The sequence below is a fragment of the Homo sapiens genome, chromosome 4 (genome assembly GCF_000001405.40).
Source record: "Homo sapiens chromosome 4, GRCh38.p14 Primary Assembly".
NCBI classification, from domain to species: Eukaryota; Metazoa; Chordata; class Mammalia; order Primates; family Hominidae; genus Homo; species Homo sapiens.
In genome coordinates, this window is record NC_000004.12 from 28314964 (window position 1) to 28332028 (window position 17065).

A 17065-nucleotide genomic window follows, 5' to 3' on the forward strand; every position below is an offset into this window, starting at 1 on the left:
AGATTGGCCATTAAATCCTAGAAACCTTAACTGTGGCTCAAACTGTCTCTATGTGTATGGGAAACAAAGCGTCTGAATTGACTTTCTGTTTAAATGAGAGACTGAATAAATATGCACAGACATAGGCATCATCTGTAATTTTTTATAGTCCTGTAAAAAAAGAATTTGACCTAAATAGTTCTACATAATATTAGATACATTGGGTGAACTTTCTCAGTTATTCTCATCTTCTGAGGTTGGTGGAGATAATAGGCCTAATTTCTGTTCCCACTGGGCTAACCCAGAACAAAATTGTATAGTCAGTTTCTATACTTTTCACTCTTTTCCTTGTGCCTTTCCATTAGGATTGCAGCGGCTTCATATTTTCCCTTTTAATAAAATTCCCCTGGGCCTTAGTTTATTCCTGATATTATAACTATAAATACCACAGACTGGATAATTCATAAAGAATAGAACTCTATTTCTCGCAGGTCTGAAGGCTGGAAAGTCCAAGATCAAGGGGCCAGCAGATTTGGTGTCTGGCAAAGGGTTACTCTCTGCTTCTGAGATGGTACCGTATTGCTGCATCCTCTGAGTGGGACAAATTCTGTGTCCTCACTAGAGGAAGTCAGAAGGGAAGAAGGGCAAGAAAGGGTCTAGCTATTTTCCTCAAGTCTTTCTATAAAGGCTCTAATTCCATTTTGCGTGTGGAGCACCCATGAGCTAAACACCTTCTAAGGGCCTCACCTCTTCTTATCATTATTTTGAAGTTTAAATTCCAACATATAAATTTGGGGAAAAACATACATTAAAACCATAGCAGTCTAACTTTATTAGGAACATCAAAAGCTCATTAAAATATGTTAATAAATGTTTATTGTTCATTTCTTTTATAATGTATTATTTACATAAATGTATATATAGTCACTCACTGCATAATGACATTTTGATTAATAGCAGATTGCATATATAATAGTGGTCCCATAAGATTATAATGTAGCTGGCCTATTAAATTTGATATTCAATTTTTCTTTATAGGACTCAAGGGGTTCAGAAATATGTATCATTTTAAATTTTAATTTAAAAAAAATTTCCCAAGACCGTGTCTCATTCTGTCACCCAAGCTGGAGTGCAATGGCACGATCATGGCTTACTGCAGCTTCAAACTCTTGGGCTTAAGTGATCCTCCCATCTCAGCCCCCCAAGTAGCTGGAACCACAGTTGCATGCCACCATACCTGGCTAATTTTTGTTTGCTTTATTAGAGACGGTGTCTCACTATGTTCCTAAGCTTGGTGTTAAACTCCTATGCTCAGGTGATCCTCCTACCTTGTCTATCCAAAGTGTTGGGATGATAGGTGCGACCCACTGCACATGGCCATTTTTTATCTTTTATACTGCTTTTAATGTACCTTTTAAAAATATTTAGCTATGTTTAGATACATAAATACCAATGTGTAATAATTGGTGACAATATTCATTACTATCACATACTGTACAGCTTTGTAGCCTAGGAGCAATAGGCCTTACCATATAGCCCAGATGTGTAGTAAGTTCAACCATCTAGGTTTGCATAAGTACAATCTATGATGTTCACATAATGACAAAATTACCTAACAACACATTCCTCAGAATGTATCCCTATCATTAAGTGACACAAGACCTTAAACAAAATATTGTACCCCCAAAAAAGTGTAACAATACAGTTTTGTTGTCATGTGTCACTTTTGTTGGGGTACAATATTTTGAAGCCCACCAAAGAAGTATAAGAAGATAACTCTGCTAGTCATTTTATATGCAGCTATGCCATTTAATTAACACAACACTCTCATGCGGTAGGTGTTGTTATAGAAGACCTAAGTCCTTTGAAATATTTCCCAAGTCACAGACAGTGATAATACTGAAGTTGTGTGCAGATTCAGGTCACTCTGGTTTTAAAGCCAGAACTTTTAACCAGGGATAGATTCAGATTATGTAAAACCTGAGGTTTACTCAATTTGAGGAGCCTACTTTAAGAAATAATTCAAAATTACAAATGCATACTCAAATATGAGAGTGAACATTTAGAATAAGGACAAAAAGCAAAAATTGCACATTTTAAAAATCTGTGCAACAATAACAAGGATTGCAAACTCTAGAAAAATAACATTTTTAATCAGCTACCTAATACATCTCTATAATACTTTTTTCTTACATTTTTTCACTTCGTATTCATATTACAAATATTTTGTATTATCTTTCTCTATAAAGATAGTAGAAAGAAAATTCAGTCTTTTTACAATCAAGGTTAATAATATTTGATGTTTTATAAAGATTTTTTCAGAAGTTTTCAGTTTCACAACTAGTTATTTGTATATTAGTCTTCTAGGGCTGCCATAACACGGTATCACAGAGTGGGTGGCTAAAACAACATAAATGTATTTCTCACATTTCTGGAGGTTGGAAGTCTAAAATCAAGGTGTCGATAGCTGTGGTTTCTCCTGAGGCTTCTCTCCTTGGCTTGCTGACAGATGCCCTCTCATTGTATCCCAGCATGGCTTCTCCTCTGTGCAGACCTGCTTCTGATGTCTCTTCCTCTTCTGATGAGGACACCAGTCCTATTGGATTATGGGACCAGCTTTATTATTCCCTTTATCTAAATTACCTCCTTAAAGCTCTTATCTCCAAATACAGTTACATTGACTGTTAGGGATTCAACTTATAAATTTGGGGGACACAAGTCAATGACAATTGATATTTTCATGCAAATATGTAAAATTGTCAAATTTTGAGAAATTATCTATTAAGGTTTTTACATACATGAGAAGTATTTCAAGAAACTTCTTTCACAATATTGCTAGAAATTTGTGCTCTGTGAAAATAGGATTTCTGATAAATTATAGTTCTATAATTTCCACCAGAAAGAAAAATAATTTATGGTACATTTATAGTTACAGATGAAACATTATTCAAGTAGACTACAGATAAAAGATAAATATAACATTCTTAAAAGTAACAAACCAGAAAATTCATAAAATAGTAATCCAATCTCTCTGAAACAGTAATAAATGGTGCAATTTACATATAGGAAAGCTACAACCTAATTTTACTTGTACTCTGGCCCACATTCCACAGCATATTCTTGGCACATTGTCTGTCTCATTTCATCTCATTTTCTTCTCACCCATTGCCTGACAGTCTTACTCCACCTCTTTTTTTCTTCCTCAAACATGAAAACCCCATATCCACCTGCAAACTTCTTACTAGTTGGTTTTTCCATCTGGATGTTCTTCCCACGAATCTTCATCTGCAACTGCAATATGACTTTTTCAACTGATCTCTACTTCCAGAGAAAATTGTTGTAATGGGTACCCAAATTACTTCCTGCCTGAAGCTATTAGTACTTAAGACAAAATATACAAATGGTTTTAAGACATTGGATCACGTAGAAGAGTGATCACTTAGGCAAGAAGGTGAAATTAAATAATCCTTAAAATTGCCTCAATTTACCAATTAAAGAGAAGTTTCTGACAGTCTCTTTGATCTGAGGATTTGGAGATAGATATTTAGGGAAGGCAAAGTAGCTAGAATTTATAGGGAATAGTGTCAGATCAGAACAGATCGGCTACTCTGGTCATATCTAACAAAGTTTAAAAGCAAGTCTCAAACGATCAAACATTTTTAAGTAAATTAACTGCACTGCAGAGCAAAGGCCAAGAAATTTATAGTACTACAAAAACATCTTTCTTCCAACACAGTAAAATTCAGAGTGTCCATAATCCAACAATAATTACCAAGCATACAAATCCAGAAAAATTTATACCATAATTAGGAGAAATTAGAGTGTATACATATACACCCAGAAATTAGACAGATGATAGGCTTCGCTAAAAGGTATATAACTGTAATCTCTGCATTTAAGAAAAAAGAAGATTAAATATATTAATTAGAGACTTGGAAGATATTACAAAACAAATTGAACTTCTAGAGAAGGATATCATGGTCGAGATTTACAAAATGACAATACTTGGATGGGATAGACAGGAGATCACACACTGTAAAAGTAAAGATTATTGAACTGAAAAATATAATGGACAGTGTCCAAAAACACACAGAGAGAAAAAAGACTGAAAAAAAATTCAGCAAGGTGAGAAATAATGTAATACATTTTCATATATGTTTAATTGAAGTTTCTAAATGGGAAATGGGAACAAAAAAAAGTAGACAAATTATAACATATATGATTCAACATAGAAAAGATAGTAATTCTTCCTAAATTGATCTATAGTTTTAATGCAATTCCAACAAAATATCAGTCCAGTTTTGTGAAGACACAGATAAGCCTATTCTAAAATGTATATGGAACAGTATAGGTATAGAATAAATACAAAAACTGACTCAGGAAGAAAAATAAATATGAACAGACCCATGAAAAAAGAAAAGATACTGAATACAGATTTAAAAACCACCCAAGAAGAAAAGGTGCAGGACCACATGGGTTCATTGGTAAATTCTTCCAAACATGTAAAAATAAATCAACATCAATCTTTCTTAAGCTCTTTCAACAATTAGAAGAGAGAGAACATTTCCAAACTTGTTCTATGAGGCCAGCATTACCCTAATACTAAGCCAAACAAAGGCACTACGAGAAGAGCAAACTAAAGACCAATATCCCTCAGAACTATAGATTCAAAACTTCTCTACAGAATACTAACAGCCATATCCAGTAGGATAGCAAATGCACTATACATTATAACCAAGTGGAGTTTATTTCAAGAAAGTGAGGGTGGTTCGACATTAGAATCAATCAATGTGATACACCACAACAATTACATTAAAAATGAGAATCTCAATTGTTCTAGAAAAATAATTTGGCAAAATTCAATACTCTCTTATGAACTCAGTAAACTAGAAATAAAAGCGAACTTCTCCAACATAATAAAGATCATTGATATGAAACCCATAGCTATCATGATACACAATAGTGAAGAACTGAAATATTTCCCCATAAAATGAGAAAAAGAGAAGAGTACCTGTTTTTGCAACTTCTATTCAACATTGTATTGGAAGTTCTGGCCAGAACAATTAGGCAAGAAAAGGAAATAAAAGGCATCCAAATTGAAGGGAAATTATACAATTATTTTTATTCCCAGATGACATGACTTTATATCCTAAAAAATCATTTAAAACATCTTAAAGCTAACAAATGAATTCAGAAAAGTTTCAGGGTACCAGTCCTACACAAAAAATCAGGGTTTTTTTCTATATACTAGCAAAGAAAAACCTGAAAAGGAAATTTTAAAAATTTATTTAATTTTCAACAACATCAAAAAAATAGGAATAAATTTAACCAAGGAGTTGCAAGACTTTCGCACTGAAAGTTTAAAACATTACTGCAAAAGTAAATAAACAATATGAATCATTTGTCAGCTTGTTTAAAAACAAAAACAACAAACACAAGAAAATAGGTAAAATAATAAGGAAACAATACAGAATATCATGTTATATATAATATTAAGACAATATAAAATTTTAGAGAAACTCAAGAAGAGGTAGAAAACATCAGAAGATCAATAATACAAAAAATTTATAAAAATACACGTTTTAAAATGTCCTATTTAGGATGACTTTACCACTGAATGTTCAGTGAGATAATTTCTCTGCCATTTCTTTTGTAAAGACCACAGAAAATTACAGAAAGCTACTAAACTGAAGTAAAAACCAGCATAACCTTAATAAAATACCACAAAACAAAAGCCTAATAATTTGATTTATAATTATAGCTGAAAAAATCTAAATATAATATTAGCACAAAAAAATAAAATCAGTATATTCAATAATAATAATACCCAAACACCAAGTATTTCATTCAAGAAACAAAATAATGCTTTGTCATTAGGAAATAAATCAAATACGTTATTATATTTATAAGGTAGAAAAAAATCAATGTAATTATAACAATGTAGTGTAGAGATGAATTTTACACATTTTAGTAAATCAAAAATAAAACAAAGTTTAGTGAAATGGGAATAGAGGTATCAATTGAATGTATGCAGTTAACATAAGAATGAAAGTGACGTATATTAAATATTGAAACTGTTGCAGTTTTTAGAAACAGAATCTAAATATTCTCTTACTACTATTACTTAAATAAAGACAGGAAAATAGAGTTCTAAAATAAATTATAGGTTTGTATAGAATAAATTGTAATTGCATAATAAGAAAACCCAAGATATTTACACAAATCTTAATAAAAGATAATTTGTTAATTTTATAGTAGACAAACAAAAATGAAGTTTTCTGTTGTTATACTTTACCTGTTTATAAATAGAAATGAGGAAGATAGTCCATTTGTTATATCCAAACAGCTGTGGGGGGCCCTTTGAAGGTTTGTTTAAAAATCAACTAACAAAAGGCAGACTAATTGGAGAAAAGGCAAACAAATGTTTTTAACATGTATATGTGGGAGCCTTCAAAATGAAGACCCAAAGAAAAAGAGGAAATAGTCCATTTTTATCCTTAAGTTCAACAAAGTGTGGACAGCCTTGTAGAAACATGATTGAACAAAAAGTTTATAATCTAATGCTAATAAACTAAGAGGCAAAACTCAGCAAGGCTGTGGTCTAGATTCTTCTTGTCCTTTTTGAGCATGCATTTTTTTCTTCTGGACATGAGGCAGGCACTCTCTGGAAAAGGGGTCTTATGACTTAGAGTCAAACGAGGTAGTCGGATAATTTATTTACAGTCAGTTTTTACACAGAAAGATGGAGGGAAAGTTAGAATAATCATTTTAGGTTTTATGGTTACCACTGGGGAAAAATGGTTCTGGTTTCTATGACCTGCCTTGGGGAAGAGGGATCTATTGCTAGCCTTGGGGGAGAATGGGCTAAGAGATAGGAAGGCAGAAGCAGATCGGAGAAAACTGCTTGTGAGACTGCTTCTGAGGCCTTCATTCTGGGGTACTATTTTCTGAGCCCCAATACCAATAAGCATGTAAAGGTAAATTCAGAGTAGGTTACTTGCATAAATTATAGTGAATAACTGAAGGACATAAAACATTCTGGAAGAGATGTACCTTCCTTTAGAGTATAAAAGTTATCAGAAAACTTCAGCTTTCACAAATATTTCTATGCATGACATTTATTTCCAATAGGAATTACTTTTTGAAACTGGATAAGCTAATTTAATAATTCATGTGGCAAAAATAGTTCATATTAATTTTCAAGTAAGTTGGGAAAAAAGAAGGTGATGGAAGAGGGACTTGAGTAGCACATATTAAAATAGGTAATAATCCCTGTAATGATTGGCAGAGCTTGCCATTAGACTGGTGTAAAGAGATACAATATAGAAACAGATGGATATTGGCAACCAGCAATATATCTTGATATAGATATAAATGATATTGATATAGATATATAAATACAGTTACTTCCTGTAACATAAAGTATCCACATAAAGTGGACTATCTCTAACATTATCCAAACAAGTAAACAAACAAGTAAATGAACAAAACCAGAAAATGCAGATTGACAAGAAGGTAAGGAAAAATCACCCATAACCCATACTACACATAATTTGGTGACAGTGATTTCTAAACAAGTGCTTTTACGTGTAAGTGGGCCTTCTGAGACCATGTTAACTCTGGTGGCTACACCAACAATGAGTCAGGCTCCTGCTCCTGAAGATTGGAAATAACGGGGCTTGAAAAGTACATGGGCTAGTGGTGGTTGTGTTGCAAAAGCTCCACTTCTGGAATAAAGAGAAACACTTGGAAATAGGAGATTTCCCTTAGGTAAGTGGAGGCGAGGAGGGAAAAAAAGCGGCCACAAAAATAAGATAGTGGCAGTGAATCAGAAGGAAGAATATATTAACTGCTAAGAATCATTGGAACCAGGCTCTTTGGAGAAATGGCCACTTCCTGGACCAGAAAAAGAAAGCATTAAGTAATGTTGGGACATCTTATAACAGAAAGCAAAGCAAGTAGTCAAAATATCATGAGAACATGCTAAAGAACAAAGAAGTCAAGTGTAAAGGGACACCCATAGGCTAAGTCTGACACACCTGAATTAGTATTTTGTTATTATTAATATCATTTCTGTAATTGGAGAAGATTAAAAATTCATGATTCCTTAATATGTGGGTGTTTGTATGCATCTGTGTGTATGTGTGTGTATGTGTGAGTCAGATAGAAATGAATGCTAAAACCAAAGATTGAAGGGCTGCAGAACAGACATTTGTAAAGTTCCAAAGAACCACTGCATAGATTACCTGAGAATTGCAAAGGGGAAAAAATGTGGGAAAAGTAAGTGAGTCTTTTTCTTAAAAAGATCTGGTGGTCATTTTCTTTAAAAAGTGAGCAAGTTTAGCATTACTGACGTGTTCTGGTTTAGAAAAAAAAATTATAACTTTTGAGAATAAAAGTATAATTGAATATGGATTGATAGTATAATTCCCCAATACCATCGTATTGGGGAATTATAGCTGATTTTCTGGGTCAAATGGAGCAGCTAATTGAATGAACTACTGAAAAATGTCCTTATTTGTTGGAGATGCATGTAAGGTATTTTGGGGTAAAATGTTAAGATTTCTGTAACTTTCAAATGGTTCCACAAATAAAATCTTAGGTAAACAAAGAAAATGTATGAAAATGTTAACAGTTATTGAATCTAGATATTCTTCATAAGAATAATCATTTTTATTAAACTTCAAGGTACTAAATTTTTTATAATAAGTGCTGCAATAATTAACAAATTAAAAAAAGAAAAATATTGACATGTTCTCTAGTTGTCAAACTTAATCTTAGGAAACCTTAAGATAAAATAGTCATGTATAATTGCATAAAATGAAAATATGTGTATACTACATAAAGTTGAAAATATACATAATAAGTCAAGGGTTAAACTTACAAACACGAAGAACGTTTGAAAACTTATGAAAAATATAAAAATCCCAATAAAAATGAAAACAGTTTATAAACTGATACTTTACAAAAAAGAAAAAGAAGATGGCCATCAAATTATATTAGACAACTCTTCAGCATTACTGGTGGTGAGGGAAATTAAAATAAAAACAGTAAAAAAAAAACCGTATTTAATGTATTATATCAGCAAGTATTTTAAAGATTGACATAGTTGTTGCTTTTAAATGAAAGGTTCACTTATACATTGCTGATGGACGTGTATATTAGAACAACCTTCCGTAAAAACAAGATGCTATTATCTATTAAAAGTAAACTTTGCTAAAACACACACACACACACACACACACACTTACACACACACACACACATCAACAACAAATCCCAAGAAACTGCCAGATTTGTACACAGGTATGTATTTGCACAAGGATATTTATTGAAGCAAGTTATATAACTGAAAACAATTTAAATGCCAAATAATATGGAATTATTAAATAAATGAAGTAGTAAAAAATTATTAAATAAATGAAGTAGTAAAAAATGCAGTAGCTAAATAAATTAGTTTGTTATTTATTTATTGACCTCGACACATGTCTATAACATGTTATGCCACAGTGGACGATTTTGTTTTGTAAAATATAAAAATGAGAGAACAGAAAATAAAACATTGGATGTATATTTGCACAAGGATTTTTTAAAAAGTAAAGTTTGAAAGCAGAAATACCAAATTGCCAACACTGCTTTAGCACATCTCAAGGTTGAGAGAGGAAAAGAGAGGGAAAGGTAAGACTATTCACCCTTCCTTTATAAATGTCTGTATTCTTTGGATTCTAAGAAATATGTATTCATTTTCTAATTAAAAATAACAATAAAGTAAGAAAAAACACATACAACAATAGCACCAAAAGAAATTGCTACTGAATGAATTTTATCCAGTCAAGCACAAATTACTATTTTCTAATGTGCAGAAGTTTGAATGTGGGCAGAGAGCAAAGAGAAAGAATTTATGAATCTTTTCATGTAAAATTAATGATGCAGTATAATGTGTGGTGTTTTTACTTTAAAAGAAGGTATCACAATGTGATATTTTATTGCTATGCCATTTTAATTGCTACATCTCTGTGTGCTTTATTGTGAATATTTTGGTTTTGAATTTTTGACCCCAGGCAATTTCATTATGAAGTAGGGTTCCTTTTCATCGATTAGAAAATGTTACAAATCAAAGGGATAAACTATAAACAAAATGAATTAAAACTGGCCTCTTAAATTTCCTTATATTTTTCTCTTTATCCTGGTGGAACAAAGTGAACATTCAGTAAGTTAGCTGGAAATGAGTACATGAAAGAAAGAGCTGCAATTTTTTTTTCTTGGAAAGAAGTTTAGGAGAACTTTGGCTTCCATAGGTAAATTACAGAAATCAAGAAGCAAATTATCTCTCTAAGGCCTGGAAAAACACTACATTATAACATTTTGTAATAACTAAATAATAAGTACAATTTATAGGATTGATAGTTCTTACATCCCATAATATAAACATTAAAACAGCATTTAAAAAATGACATTTACATAGAAACCTCTTATCCTAGGCCTTCTTATCCTCCTGTTATCCTTGTCCTTCAAGCCCCAAATGACACGTTAATCTCTTCTGGAAAATTGTACTTGTCCTGTAGTTTAGCAAACTATGGTTGGGTTCTTTCTCCTCTTGAATGTTAGCAAGACACAAGATTCATATATTCTATTTGAAGTTACCTTTGGATTTGACATCTTGAACTTGACATCTTGACCAACAACTATGAAACTCTGCAAGCAGTGATTATGGCATTAATCTTGAAGATTTACCATAGTACCCAGCTTATATTATATGTTAAACAATTGTTTGTTGAATTCAATAAACTGACATAGATTACATTGGAAATTGCAGATTTATTGATACCTTAATGCTATACTAAATGTGACTAGTCTTTAGTCTTTTCTCCTTGGGAAAGAGAAATCTACTACTTCCACCTAGTATGCTACCTTTCCTATGAAAAAGGATTAGCTTATATGTACTCTTTTCTCTTCCATTATCTTTTCATCCCCTTTATCCCTCATTCTCAGTACGTGAGTTTGTGTATATGTCTTGAGAAAAATAAATGCATTTTAACCGAGACTTTCAAATAATAATAAAATAAATCAAATCAAATCAAATAATATCCAAATAAAACCTGGAGGCTTTAGGGAAGAATCTGCTTCCCTACTTTTTCCTGCTTATAGTGGCTGCCCACAATTCTTGGTTCATGGCCATATCTCTCCAGTCTGTTTTCATCAGCACATTTTCTTCTTTGACTCTGATTCTCCTGCTTTCCTCTGATAAGGATCCTTGGAATTATACTGGACTCACAGGCATAATCCAGGATAAACTCCCCATCCAAAGATCCTTAACTAATTACATCTGCAAAGTTCCTTTTGCCATCTAAGTAATATATTCACAGGGAATTAGGCCATGGACACATTTAAGGGACCTATTTAGCTTACCACAATTCCTAAAGATAAACCACCTTCTAGTATAATCATTTTAAACTTCTTCTCCATTGATGCTACATAATTTGTTAGCTCGCTCCATATTTCTCTACTCTGATTCACATGTGAACTTGAAGAAAATCTCTACATTCTTTCAGGCTTTGTGAACCAGTCCTTCACTTAACCCTGAGTAAGAGGAATTTGGGCTCCTCCACTTCATTTATTCATCTTATATGAACAGCAAAAATAATCTTCATGTTGCCATATGGAATGACCACTTCTCTGTTCTAACATCTCAGACCTCTTCTCTTCAATTCTCTTCAATTGAAGAGAATTGTCATCTTCAATTCTCTTCTGTTTGATTTCTACACACCTAGCTTCTCATAATTCAGTTTGAGTGTAACATAGAAGAGTCGCCTCCTTTGACTACTTAAATTGGAACCTCCCAGAACCAATCAACTCTCTATTCCAACCTTTAGTTTGATTTTCTTTAGGACACTTAACAATCTTGGGAATTATCTTGATTATTAATTTGTTTACTTAATTATAATATCCTGCCTCCTCCTCTAATAAAATGGAAGATCTATGAAGGAAAGGAGCCACATCTCTCTTCATTACTGCTTTATCTCAAGTCTCAATAACTGTTTCTTGATACAAATATCTGAATGAATGACTATTAAAATTTGAAGGAGATTACAATCAATTTTTGTCTAATAGAGCTATTAAAATTAAAATTTTAGTAACCAATAAATATGAATTTAAATTTGAGTGATGTTTCCTATAACTAAGACTAATTAAATAAATTGTTAATTACTTAAATTACTTGATTCCAGACAAGAGTTTATGTAAAATTAAAGCAGACTCTCCAGTGATGGAAAAACATAGGCTAGCAAAAGAGAATGTTTTTATATATACATATAATGATTTTATATCTATGCATACACACACACAGTCACTTTTGTGTGTATACCTGTGTGTTTATATTTACGTGTATAATACACATACATATAAAAGCAAATACATGTACCTATATCCTGATGTTTTAGAAATAAAGACTTTTTGTGACTATAATCTAAGATCATCATCATCTCATAATGGTTTTCTGAAGTTATCTTCAAATATATTTAACACTTGAGAAAGTGATTTTTTTGTGTATGTCTGGATATGCTACTAGAATAATATCCATTAAGAACCAAGATTATCACTACTTGAAACTTTAGCTAAATTGAAATCTTTCAAAGGAATTAATATAATAGCCTGACAGTTTAGGTTATAATATGATGATACATTTTTTGATAGATGTTCAGAATGTCAAAAAAAATTCTTCCTCATCTCCTATGTAACCGGTTAAAATCACAGTGAGAACTTGTGTACTTCGCATGGCCAAAAGAGAAAAGCCAAAGCTTCACATTGTTATCAGCACACAGTGATTAGTATAAGGGGCAAAGAAGAGTATACATAACTGAGTCTTGTCAACTAAAAGCTTTCTAAGTGTCCTATATCATAGAATTTCCAGGAAAAAAATGTTTCACTGGTGCCTTTTTGTATTACAATTTGAAAAATGTTAAACAGAAGAAAAATGATGCAGTTAAAGGCATCTGAAGCAGCAAGAAAAACGTAAGATGTTTAAACCAGAAATATAATTTAGAAAGAGCAATTTTGATTGAATGGGAAGCATAGTTTACTATTTTAAATATATAAATACAATCAGGAGTTATGGGTTCCACTGATACTTCCTCTAAGGGTTACCTTTCTATGCATTGATTCTGAAAGTATAGTCCATTAACTTCCAAGTGCTCCTGAGGCACTTTCAGAGGGTATGCAAGGTGACATCAAAACTATTTTTATTATAGCCCTAAGATACTGTTTGTCTTTATCAATGTAATTTGCCCTGATGATGCAAATGCAATTAGCAGGTAAGACTTCTGGTGCCTTAGCATAAATTAAAGTGCTGGCATTAAGTATTCTTGTAGTCACTATATTCTTTATTGCCATGTTCTTGTGGAAACACATCCTTGCAGATACAAGCACACACATACCCACTGATACCAGTTACACTTAACAATTTTCATTATTAAACAGTAAAAGTTATTATTTTATAAGACCTCAACCCTTAAGGTAATCTGTGTGATAAAATGAGAATTACACATAAAGCATTTCTGCTGCTGACCAAAGTACATGGTTTATTCCATGAAAATTACTATGTAATTGAATTGAAAGCTATACTAGCCCCTCTCTTCAGGAGTAATATTTTTGTGGAAAACACAACTGACCAAAAAAATTGATTATTTTGGTTTGGGTATTTGGCATCTTATAGATGAACAAAGTGAGCCTGTCACTTTCTTTTTAAAGAAAACAATTGATACTATTTATTACCAATGTTAAAATTATAGATTTAAAGCAAGAATTAAAATTTTAGAAAAACTTGTATTTTTCTAGTTTGAACTTGATAGTTTACTACTTGAAAGATTTTTTGGCCTGGCACGGTGGCTCACGCTTGTAACCTGCTGAGGCAAGTGGATCACCTGAGGTAAGAAATTTGAGACCAGCCTGGCCAACATGGTGAAAACCCATCTCTACTAAAAATACAAAAAATAAATTAGCCGGGCATGGTGGCATGAGTCTGTAATCCCACCTACTCGGGAGGCTGAGTCAGGAGAATCACTTGAACCTAGGAGGCAGAGGTTGCAGTAAGCTGAGATTGTGCCATTGCACTCCAGCCTGGGCAACAAGAGTGAAACTCCGTCTCAAAAAAAAAAAAAAAAAAAGATTTTTTCCTGAGGTCACTGGTGATATTAATAATTGTTACATTATAAAAAATATGCCTTCCTTTGGAAAATCAACATAAGCCAGTGACAAATGAATGATGTTACCAATTCATGCTTGGGAAAAAATACCCATTTTAACTTCAAGATAAACCAACATCGCATAGTATGAGAAGTGTATTGTCGCTGGTAAGAATGTTTGTCCTTCAAACTTCAAAAGTGTTTTAAAACTATTACCTCTAACAATTGTTTCTTCCAAATATGATTTCAGTTTCCACATTGCAAGTAATTTGAATAAACCATTACAGGATAGTTTTGGTAGCATATTATAAAGAATATCCAAAATTACCTAAAAATGTTGTCAAAATATCCAATTTCAAAATACTTATCTATGTGAGCCTTCATTTTTTTATGTATTTCAACTAAAACAACATTTCATTCCACATTGTATGCAAATGCAGATATGAGAATCCAGCTGTATACTATTAATCTAAAAGTTAAAGATATTTAAAAAAACATAGAACAGTGGCACTATTCTCACTTTGTTTTCGAAAATATAGTTATTACTTTATAACATATGTATTATTTACATTAGCATATAATGTGTTTATTGATATTTGTAAATAGTCGGTAAATGTATATATTTAAATTTAAAATCAATTTAAAATTTAAACATTCTTAAATGAGTTTTAATTTCTAACCCAATAAATATCAGTAAATACAACACCTACAAACAAAAGTTCTCTGGAGTCCTTAGTAATTTTAATGCATATATAGAGATCTTGAGAACAAAATTTGTGAGAACCACTGGTTGACAATAATAGTTTTAAAACACTTTTGAAGTTTGAAGGAGAAACATTCTTCCCTGAAATTTCAACAATAACAACAAAATAATGTACAGCTGCCCTTCTCGAGGTGAGTAAGTCCTACCAGCTAAGTAATACACACACACACACACAAACACACACATATCTATATAATAATAATACCTCTCTAGGTAGCTTGGTTCCAAAATGGCTAAACTGATTTGATGGTATAGCAAATACATGTAACTTTGCAAGAAGTATATACTCTATTATCTATATTACATACACCTCATAGCTGGAATATAGTGATACTTAGATTCATTGCAAATATGAAAAGGCATTTATTCCACATCAGCCTGATTACAAATAGGTCAATCAAGTAGTATTTAGATAGAATGAAACTTTCAGAGCATAGACAACAGATTGATGAAGAATTTATATAAATATGTTAACAGACACAAATACAATGTACTTTTAATTAGCAAAAGATTAGTAAATTTGAAATATTAAGTTGGTCAAATGATCTGATTTTGAAACTAGATGAGATTCTATATTAACTTACTCTCAAAATGTTCCTCTTTTAATATAATCTTTTGCTAAGGGAGATCCAATATGTTTTTTATTAAAATTCTAGATTTAAGGTTTTTAATCAAATTGCAAGTTTCTCACCAGAGAATTTGTAAATGTACAGAATTCTAAGCATGGATCACAAAGAATATACACAGAAACCTGCAACTAGGTGATGTCTTGTTCAATGTTGGCGCGATGCTTTCTGTTGGCTCACAGAGGATTTTGCTCCACTGATTTGACGGCAGGTTGGTCTAGGTCACATTTTAACAAGTTTCATATCTGCTAACAGACATGTTATCATTCTCTAGAGCTTTCTTCTCTGCACAGCATTTTCCAGGCTGTGTGTGTGTATAGAATGCTACTCCTTTATAATGCTGAGTATTCAATAAGCAAGGTCACTTTTAAAAGTAGTCCCTTTCGTATTGATAGAGCTGTCTCCTCTAGCTTGTTTCTCTTAAAATATTGGCTAATGGATGACTACAGGTGATTTTTAAAGTAAGAGGATTAGTCAGGGATTAAAGCGCCATAGCTTCCCTCACTTGTGTGAGAAGATGTCAGTCTGATTTGTGATGGATGGTCTCATATAAGTTTAGGAGCCTCTCTCTTTTTTCATATGCAGCATCTTTGGCCACATGGGAAATAAAATCAATATATGAGGGTACGATGTGTAGCATAGGTCTATTAGAATAACTTGTTGACTCAATAGTTTTAAAATAGTCTCTTTGTAACAAATGCCACAAAGCAATACAAACAAAAGTGTAATTGTCTAGTCTTCAGAATGGCAGACAGGTGGCTGGTAAACCTCTATGTGGTTTGAGGGTGAAGTGGGAAGACAGTTCAGCTAGTTCAACTCATCAGAGGAGTCATTTAGGGAGATTTCTTAATGGGGTATTATCAGTGAATTGTATCTTCCCAAAGTACATGTCAAAGTACTAACCCTGGTAGCTCATAAGATGACCTTATTTGGAAATTACATCATTTCAGATTAGAAAAGGTAAGATGAATGGAGTAGGGTGGGCTCCTATATCAGTGTGGCTAGCATCTTTATGAGGGATAATGAGAAAAGGCATGGTGACAATGCCATGTGAAGATGGAGGCAGAGGTTGGAGGGTTGCATCTACAAACCTAGGAATGCCAAAGATTGTCAGCCATCACCACAAGCTTGAAGAGTGGCGTGAAACAGAGTCCACCTCGGAACCCTCAGAAGGAACTATCCCTGCTGACACCTTGATTTCTCACTTCCAGCCTTCAGGACAGAATACATTTATGTTGTTTTAAGCCACTCCATTTGTGGTACTCTGTTATAGCAGTTCCAGGAAACTAACACATGAGGATTCTGAGAGGATTATCATGTTCTAAAATGTGAAAACAGAAATGAGATGCATAATTTATTAAACCAACCTGCAATTAAGTTATTAATATATACCTTTTTGTATAGATGAGCAGTGAGAGGCATATGAAGATACTCTCCTCCAAAGACCTCCCATGGTACAATCTAGATTAAACTTCAGAAGCACTGACCATTTTTGGACTTGTATTCACATATATTGC

At 32.6% G+C, this 17065-nt stretch overlaps 2 long non-coding RNA genes across 3 annotated transcripts in view; one reads left to right on the plus strand and one right to left on the minus strand.

The window, feature by feature from the left end:
- LOC105374557 (uncharacterized) overlaps window positions 1-17065 on the plus strand; it is a 485690-nt gene that overhangs the window by 197454 nt on the left and 271171 nt on the right. The window lies entirely within an intron of this gene.
- LOC124900843 (uncharacterized) lies at window positions 2112-16865 on the minus strand. The gene is made up of 2 exons (XR_007058440.1): window positions 16640-16865; window positions 2112-2575 (listed from the first exon to the last, which is right to left on the minus strand). It is a non-coding gene; the product is annotated as an uncharacterized LOC124900843 (long non-coding RNA).